Below are 9,763 nucleotides of genomic sequence, written 5' to 3' on the forward strand. Positions count from 1 at the left end.
ATTTTCTGTCTTATCCAAAGCTTATGTTATAAAATTTCTCCTCCGGAAAAAAAAAAATTCATTAAAAAAATTCTAATTAGTATTCTTACATTTCACTTTCACATAGCATCATATTTCCATATGTGCCATAGACTGAGTTTTACTTAATGTAATATCACTAACCTAAAATCAAATGAATGTGTAGATGTATTTAACAAACAAGAAGTGAAGTGCAGAAAAGGCAATAATCTGAAGACTCTATGCGTTAGTTCCATTTGTGCCATGTGTATATTTCCAAGGAATGTACTTTTCTATCAAAGTACCCACAGTATTGTTTTAGCTTTTTCATTTGCTTTTCTCTGTTTAGATGACCTATTCATAAAATGTCCTGTGGGCTATGTCGACAAAAGGAGTCAAACTCTTTGAAATATTTGAAGAAATTTATTCTGAGTCAAATATGAGTGACCACGGTCTGTGACACAGCCCTCAGGAGGGCCAGAGAACATGTGCCCAGGGCTGTCAGGGTGCAGCTTGGTTTTATACACTTTTAGGGAGGCATGAGACATCAATCAAATACATTTGAGAAATACATTGGTTTGGTCCAGAAAGGCAGGACAATTTAAAAAGTGTGGAGGGGGCTTCCAGGCTATAGGTAAATGTAAACATTTTCTGGTTGACAATTGGTTGTGTTTTTCTAAAGACCTGGGATCAACAGAAAGGAAATGTTCAGGTTAAGATAAAAGATTGTGGAGACCAAGGTTATTTTGAAGTCTCACAGTGGCTGCCCTTAAAGAGGAGAGATGACAACTGTTTCCTATTCAGACCTTTAAAAGGTGCTGGACTCTCAGTTAATCCCTTCAGGATTGGGAGGGCCTGGAAGAAAAAGATCTAGCTATGTTAATAGAGATTTTTTGCAGATGCAAATTTTCTCCCACAAAGGATGGCTTTGCAGGGCCATTTCAAAATAAGGCAAAGAAACATGTTTTAGGGTAAAATATTTTGATTTTCTTCTTAGTCATGTAATGTTATGCCAAAGTCAAATTGGAAAGTAAGTCACAATGAGGCAAGAAAATAGGGTCTGGAGGCAGGGAACATAAGGCCAATTCACACTTCAGCTATAACAGGAAATATCCTCTCCACAGGGCATACCTCATAAATGTAACTTTACTTCATCCTCTCCATTTACATAAGGTGTACCCAAAGTAACCAATGGAATCCTCTAGGATGTAAACTCCCCAAAATTCTGTAACGGGGCCTTTGAGCCCCTGTGCTCAGGCCTGCAACCACACTGTGGGGTGTACTTTCATTTTCAATAAGACCCTTTATTCCATCCTTGCTTTGTGCGTTTTGTCCAGTTCTTTGTTCAAGACACCATAAACCTGGACACCCTCCACCTTTAACAACAATATATAGAGTTCAATAAAACCTATCTGATGAGAATTTGTGGTTTGTAGGGCATAACTCCCCAGAACCCTTAGATCGGAATTTGGACAAGATGAGAAAAAATCAGAGCTTAGTCCTCAACTACAAGGCACCAAAAACACATACTAAAAACCGAATAATCAATAAAATCTTAAATTTTCTGTTTCTTTTTTTCTTAGTGTTTACAAATTTCTCACATTAAATTGAAATATGACTTTCAATTAGTTAAATGACTATGAGTTAGTTATTTTCATAACAAACCTAAGTCTCCTTTTATGCTATCTTCTACCAAAACCAAGTTCATTAATAGATGCCTGTGTTTTTTATTTAAATCCCTGAACACGAGTGATGGAAACATAAATTTCTAAATTGAAAAAAATGTGTATGTGCTGATACTGTTGACTACATGTTCTATCCTATCATCTTAATATAATCTGCAATACCTGTAATTTCCCCTAAAATAGAGTTTGTCAGTTAAAAGAGAAATATTTTCTTTCCTTTTGTACTTTGTGATTCCAATACTTTATTAATCTGTTTAAAAAAGACATCCTAGGTTTCTTTAGGTTCTCTACTTGGTGGCATTGCCACCACTGAGTTTTTATTATGTAAATTATTGCAATCTGGTTAGCTCCTTCCGTCTTGTTTCTTAACAAAAGGGGTCTGCAAGTGCTAATCAAAATGTTGCAATTTACATATTAATGAAGTTTTTATAATGACATTTCCTTCATACACAGGGTGAGCAAAAGGGAGACTTTTTATCCTTTTTTGAGAAAGCAACCACAAAATTTTGACCTTATGAAGTATCTTTGAAACTTTCCAAAGCTGATTAGAATAGCGTTGATGTATTTTAATCAGATACAGAAAGACTTTACAAAGTATGAGCTGCACACTTGCTGTCGTAATGCTTATAAGCACTAATTTTTTTGTATACATTCATGTACTTGTAATTGCACAAAATGCGAAGGACACATTTGGCGGTGAGGATGCTGTGCACAATCAACTCCTAATCATTTTCAGGAAAGGATAAACATTCCGCTAAAAATGAGGAAAGACAAGAAATGTTCAAAAGCATGTCAAAAGTGTCCAGCTGTTTTCATAGAATATAGGTGATTTCCTGGTGCTAGCAAAATCCAGAAGAAACGTTATAATAACTAGAAATGTCTATAATTGTGAGGAAGCCCAAGTATGAAGATTCACAAAAATAGAATAAGTGGATGAAATTAGTTAAAACAACCTTCTTAGTAATGAGGTACTCTGATTATAAAAGTACTTTGACTCTTTAGAATGTGTCACTGAACACCAAGCTGAAAAAACAAATTAACAGTCTGTCACTAGAGCATGATCTCCCACAGACAATATGCTCATAAATGAAAAGACAGAGAGTCCAATATTCATTATTATTCAGTCAATGACATTATTAGGAAATTCAGGCAAGGAACAACTTGTGTCATATTTTCTTTAATTATCAAATGAGCGTATATAGGCACAACATTTGTAATGAGAATTATTTTTCAATCAGTAACATTCTTAAAGACTATTTATCTACATAAATATATATATTTAGTGTAGTTATAGATATATGCTAAAAGAGAAAAAAGATAAAAGTGGCCCAAATATTTTTGTCTGATTTCCTAATTATACTATACAAAGTATTTTATATGAAAAATTTATTGTCGCTAACAAGCCTGAAAAATTGCACTGTTTTTCCAAATTAAACTCCTTCCCCCCCCAGAAAATTGGTGTGAAAATTAGTAATTTGTTAGTTATTTCTAAGAGTAACAATGTAATATTTGATTTGTTTCCTCTAAAATAATTTTGTTATAAGAGACAACTTAGTATCTAAGATCAGCAAAATTTTTAGGATGTTGAACACTCTTAATAAATGTTAAAAATTAACTAATGTATCATAAAATAGTTCCTAAATCTGAAAAAATAAATATATATGTAGGTCAACTTACCTTGAATTAAATATTAGCTAAATTTTTTTTAGAAAATGGCAGTTGATGAGAACAGACAATTTGTGTTTTAGATTCATGGAAAGACACCCCAACGAGTGAAATAATAAGACAGGTCTTACTTCTTTTCACAACAGGACAAGGACACCCATTCAATTGGATTAGATGACGTGATGCCAAGAGCCATTAATCCAATCATTGACTTGTGCCTGCAAGTGCTGCCATTTAGACACATGGAACCACTTCCAGTCACATCTGGCCACTTGGGCATGTGAGTTGGCACAAGCATGCTATGGAAAGAATAAATGTCCCTGCCCAAACTACTCCAAATCGTTTAATATTTTGAGGTCATTTCTCTTTACAAAGAAGAATCCTTAAAACTAAAAAACTCTCAGCTGGGCATTTATGATCCACAGAAAGTTTATTTTTCTTTCTCTTCTTCACTTGAGTGGTTTGGTTTCTGAATAGCTTCAATCTAGCTCCAGGCTTTTGAACTGTTGATTGCTCATGTTCAGGCATTGATTTCAGGTTTTGCCAATTCTTTGAAATTGTACTTAATTTCAAAGGACTTCCATCACTTGCTAGAAGACCAGTTAGTGTAGAAGTGGACAAATGACTTCCCTCTGGGGAAACTGACCTTTTCCAACCACAGGTGTACATAGGCCTCTCAATGACAGAGAGTAATGGTTCTAATCTTTTGCTGATTTTCCCACAGGTCTCACAACTATTTCAGTCTCCAAAGGGGAAAAAAATATTTGCTTAATTTTGTTTGCTATTGTGTATCCCCATCCCCATTTATAATTACTAATGCTAAACATGACTGAATTTATACACTTGAACTGTTTTAAACACATTAAACTATAAACTCTGAAGAACCGAATGATATACAATTGTTAGTTATCTTTTTTTTATAGTACATGGTCATCCAAAATTAAAACCACGCGTGCAAACTTATACACATACACATACAACACACACACACACACACTCTTTCTCTCTCTCTCTTCAGTAACTCAACTAAAGCAATACAGATGCTTTAGAGATTCAATTATTTTCTAATTCTTTCTTTGCAATCATCAAATTCTGAACCACTCTTTGCTGACTTGGCTCTTTTATGAAACCTCACTGTGCCTTGTCTGTTTACCTCAACTTTATGCTGTGATTGTTTCTGGTACTATTTGATTAGAATACATAACAGCTGGAACTTGTCAACTTAATACATTTTTCCTCAAGAGGTATATTTGGGGTTATTTGACTTTAACTTAATCAAAACAGCATCAACATGGTTTCACCCTCCTTTTCTCATCTCAAAATGAAAGTGTAGGAGACCAGAGAGTAAAATCATGTTGTACTAATCGGGCTTTTTTTTTCCTTCCCCCAAGGCTAATACCTGGTACTCACAGAGTTTTGCCAGCCTAAGACTTATAAAATTATAAGTATATGTCAGGGTATCTGAAAAGAAACAAAGGAAGCATTTGGTTCAACTTGGATTTGCTGCAGATAAACAAATCTGGAAACACATTAAGACTCTATTAGGCAAATCCTATTGGAAAAAAAAAACTAAAAATACCATTAAACAATGTCACCAATGCCGAAGAGTGAAGTCATTACAATTTTAATTGATCTTCTGTTTGACATTGTAGGGGAGAAAAAAATTTTTTTTTCTCACCCATCACTAGGTTCATGGCTAAGATACCTATAACAAAAGACAGACTAACAAGAGAAAAGCCTAGAAACTTCCTCAATATAAGTTTTTTGCTAACAAATTAAGTTTTATGTGACACACAGTCTTCATAAATAAAGACCCAAAGAAATAGGGAAACCTGTTTTGTTTTGTTTTTTTTTGTTTTTTTTTGCTAAGTTAGATAAAGAAGTAGATAGCTGTGGACAAGTATGACTGGAAAAAGGGGGTATAATCTATTAATAATAAACAGAGGGAACGAACTTGGTGAGGCCTGTTTGCTCAGACTCGTTTCTATCTTTCTTTGCCTTCAGAGATAAGGATATATTTTTCTTCCAGGCGTAGGGTGAGCATTTCCCAAATGAAGGCCTTATAACCTACTTTAAAGGAAGAACAGGGAATTCTTTTATGGCCTATTTCAGGGGAAAAGGGTCTGGGAATATCAGAGTGACCTTCCGGCTTCTACTGTTTTTCTCAATGCCATATTTCAGGGTAGCGTGGTTCTGGACCCCAACAACATTGTATTTGTAAGCCTTATTTTCTATGTTTAAAGCAAAATGTATTTAAAATATTTTAAACAGAGGCTCAACAAATTCCCTAATAGCACTAGAAAATAATTATTTCACTTTTAAAGGGCTTGTAAGAGCTTAATAAACCAATTTTCAAAAACAAATATATACAGAATTCACAAATGAAAATGAATAAGAATATAATACTAATAACACACTTACTAGAAAACAGCGATGCATTAGACACATCTTGACAGGTTGCAAGCTCTTTAATTTTTTTAATATTTTTTCTTTTCTTTCCTTCCTTCCTTCCTTCTTTCCTTCCTTCCTTCCTTTCTTTTGCTCCTTTTCCCCTTCCTTCCTTCCTCCCCACTTCCTTCTTTCTTTGAATTACTTCCTCTCAAATTTTTTTCTATACTATGCCAAGCCAATCATAGAGAAAAGTTTCTATAAATTTTTCCTCCATCTCACTCCTCTTTACAGGTTTCTTGTGCCCTACCTAATGAAATCGGGAGACTGTTATTAAGGAGGTCTCTGACTGTACCAGCATTTTGCAGTTACTCTTCCTATTCTATCTCTCATCTCTTCATAGGTGGGATGTTCTCAAGTCTCTCAGTTTCCTAGTAAGAGCAAAGCTTTATTTCAATTGTTTGAAAAGGTTTCCATTGCGAAATCTTCTCACAGTTTGAAATTCTGGCATAGAATCTTGGAAGCAGATCATAACTAGACATGATATTTAAAAACCACATTTCGCATTTTTAGCACTAAGTCAAAATGTAAAAATACTAAAACTTTTCACTGGGAATATTTTTTTCCTTTAAATGGAAAAATATGAATTATTTACATTTATTAAATAAACTGCTCAATACATATATTATTTACAGCACTCTTCACAGGTTTCTGAGTTTATTCACGTAGAACATAAAATATATTGTATGTATCAAATGATTTGTGTATTAAATTACTGTTTTCGAGGGTTTTACTTACCAGTCAGAATTTCCATTCTTATCTCCTTCTTTGTCAATGTTCCTCCATCTTGTTCTTAACCTATAGTTTTGTTAGGGCTCAGAAAGTGATACCTCAGAGACTGACACTTTGGCTGAGAGTCCTTAGACACTTCTCAGAGTCAAGGTCCATCTAACCTTATTTTGTTTCTCCCCACCCCCAACTGTAAAAAGAGACTCTCTCTTTCTCTGGAATTTCCTTCTTTGACCAAGAAAGCTTCTTTTCAAAATAAACACAATTTCCTTCCTTCCCTCCCTGAAATTTTATTTTCTTTCTCAGAAGAAAAGACTGAGGAATCCAGCCATACTAACCATACCTAGAGGGACTTTTTTTTTTTTTTAAACAAAATTACAATGCTTGCATCTGGGATTCATTCAAATTACAAGGAGAATTACTTATAAGTTAATCTCTTTTCATCCATTCTCCTGAATAATCATTTGCTGCCACTTGAAATCATTATCTATTTCCCCACCTTTCCCTGCTCCCATGAAAAAGAGTATTTAAGCTTTTATACCCCATTTGGTTATTGGTTAATCATTTTTCCAGCGATTTTTCCCATGCTATGCTCATTAAAATAAAATTTTGTATGCTTTTCCTTTTATTAGTCTGCCTTTTGTCAGATGCAGATTTTCAGAATGCAAAAGGGAAGTTTTCTCTTAGTCTCTATAGTTCATTGACTGGGACCTACATAGCAGCTGATTTTTGCAGGCACAACACAAACACATACATGATTCCTATAGTGTGGACTCTCCCTATGATTCACAAAAGCATATCTGAATGGAAAAGTGTGAAAAAGATATCACCAAAATAATTTTAAAAATATTTTCAATAGACAAAAGAGAAGTAATTCACTTGTAAACTTTAGAATGTTAGTTAAGATTACTCATACCACTAATGATAATAACATATAGCATCAATGACACTGATTGAGTTCCATTGTTCTGCCCTACCAATTCAATAAGTACCCTATCTATTTATTTTATTGTCTACAACTTCTTGGGGCTTAGAAACAATACCTCAAAATGAAGACCTCAGAAATAGCCTCAGAAGTTAAGTTTTTCTTTGATCTTCTCCCGTACTCCTTCTCTCAGTCCCATTCCCCCTCGAGGCTAGCCGTAAAAAGTAGAATCCCTCTTTCCCAAGGTCATGGAAACCAGAACTCCTTTTCCCCAAAGCCAGGCATAAAACCTATGAGGAATAAGCTCTGATTTTCCTTTTTAATCTTGCCCAGATTCCTATCTAAGGGGTCTGGGGAGTCATGCCCTACAAACCATAAATTCTCATCAGATGGGTTTTATTTAGCCCTATATATCGTCATTTACTCTTGCATAACATTAGGAAACAAGGAAGAAAATAAAAATATTTTACCCCAAAATGTATTTCTCTGCCGTATCTTGAAATGGCCCTGCAAATCTGTTCTTGGTGGGGGAAAATTTGCATTTGTAAAGATTCTCTATTAAAATAACTAGATCTTTTACTTCCAGATCCTCCCAATCCTAAAGAGATTAAGTAAGAGTCTAGCACCTTTTTAAAGGTCTCAATAGGGAACATTGTCATCTATTGTCTCTAAGGGCAGCCACTATAAGACTTCAAAAGAATCTTGGTCTCTACAATCTTTTATCTTAACGTAAACATTTCCTTTCTATTGATCCCAGGTCTTTAGACAAACTTAACCAATTGTCAATCAGAAAATGTTTAAATTTACCTATAGCCTGGAAGCACTGCCTACTTTGAGTTGTCCCGCCTTTCTGAATCAAACCAATGTATTTCTTAAATGTATTTGATTGATGTCTCAGGCCTCGCTAAAATGTATGAAACCAAGCTGTGTCCCGACCACCTTGGGCTCATGTTCTCTGGATCTCCCGAGGGCTGTGTCACGGGCCATGGTCACTCATATTTGGCTCAGAATAAATCTCTTTAAATATTTTACAGAGTTTGACTTTTTTATTGTCATCTAAAAATATAACTCTAACTGTCCTTCCACCTTTTTATATAAAATCTAGTCATAAAGAAATTATCCATCCTAGCTTGTTGGACTGTAGGTCATAAGATCTCCATTCTAGAGAGGGTCCTGCCCCACAGCCAGATGGAAGAAATCCATACTTAGAGAGGGCAAGGAGACTCTGCGCAGATAGGCCTTACTACGTTTCCCCACCAAATCTACTAGTATTACACTATGCCTGTTTGTCCATTTATATTTCTACACAGCTGTTCATACTTTGTTGAACCTAAGCATAAAAATGGACCCTTTATCCTCAGGTCTTCATTCTGAAGGCTCTCATGTATATGTATTAAATAAATTTGTATGATTTTTCTCCAATTGGTCTGCCTTTTGTGAACTGATTTTTCTTTTTCTTTTCTTTTTGAGACAGAGTCTGGCTCTGTTGCCCAGGCTGGAGTGCAGTGGCGCCAACTCGGCTCACTGCAAGCTCCACCTCCCGGGTTCACGCCATTCTCCTGCCTCAGCCTCCCGAGTAGCTGGGACTACAGACGCCCGCCACCACGCCCAGCTAATTTTTTTTTGTATTTTTAGTAGAGACGGGGTTTCACCGTGTTAGCCAGGGTGGTCTCGATCTCCTGACCTCATGATCCGCCCGCCTCGGCCTCCCAAAGTGCTGGGATTACAGGCGCGAGCCACGGCGACCAGCCGTGAATTGATTTTTCAGTGAAACTTTAGAGGGCCAAGGAACCTTTGGCCCCTACACACTGCTTATATTTTATGTGATTATTGATACACACGAGCTTAAACATTTTTATCTTAAATAATAATAATATCTTAAATATTAATAATAACAATAATAAACTTTCTTAAATCCCATATCCCACTCTGTATGTTGTCTTAGCTCTATTTAAAAAAAGTCTACCAGTTGGCCGGGCATGGTGGCTCACACCTGTAATCCCAGCACTTTGGGAGGCCGAGGCGGGCGGATCACGAAGTCAGGAGATCGAGACCACCCTGGCTAACACGGTGAAACCCCGTCTCTACTAAAAAATACAAAAAATTAGCTGGGTGTGGTGGCGGTGCCTGTAGTCCCAGCTACTCAGGAGGCTGAGGCAGGAGAATGGTATGAACCCGGGAGGCGGAGCTTTCAGTGAGCCGAGATCGCGCCCCTGCACTCCAGCCTAGGCGACAGAGTAAGACTCCATCTCAAAAAAAAAAAAAAAAGTCTACCAGTTATTCACAAACCTGGCTGCATATTAAAATTACCTGG

The 9,763-nt window shown here is 36.0% G+C and overlaps 1 annotated feature.

The window, feature by feature from the left end:
* Positions 7,941 to 8,488: an enhancer, noted in NCBI's record as "OCT4-NANOG hESC enhancer chr3:78402403-78402950 (GRCh37/hg19 assembly coordinates)". NCBI's record gives its function as "activates a minimal SCP1, AML or CMV promoter by ChIP-STARR-seq in primed H9 embryonic stem cells {active_cell/tissue: H9 hESC(primed)}" and the evidence as "EXISTENCE:reporter gene assay evidence [ECO:0000049][PMID:30033119]".

This window comes from Homo sapiens, chromosome 3 (assembly GCF_000001405.40).
Source record: "Homo sapiens chromosome 3, GRCh38.p14 Primary Assembly".
NCBI lineage: Eukaryota > Metazoa > Chordata > Mammalia > Primates > Hominidae > Homo > Homo sapiens.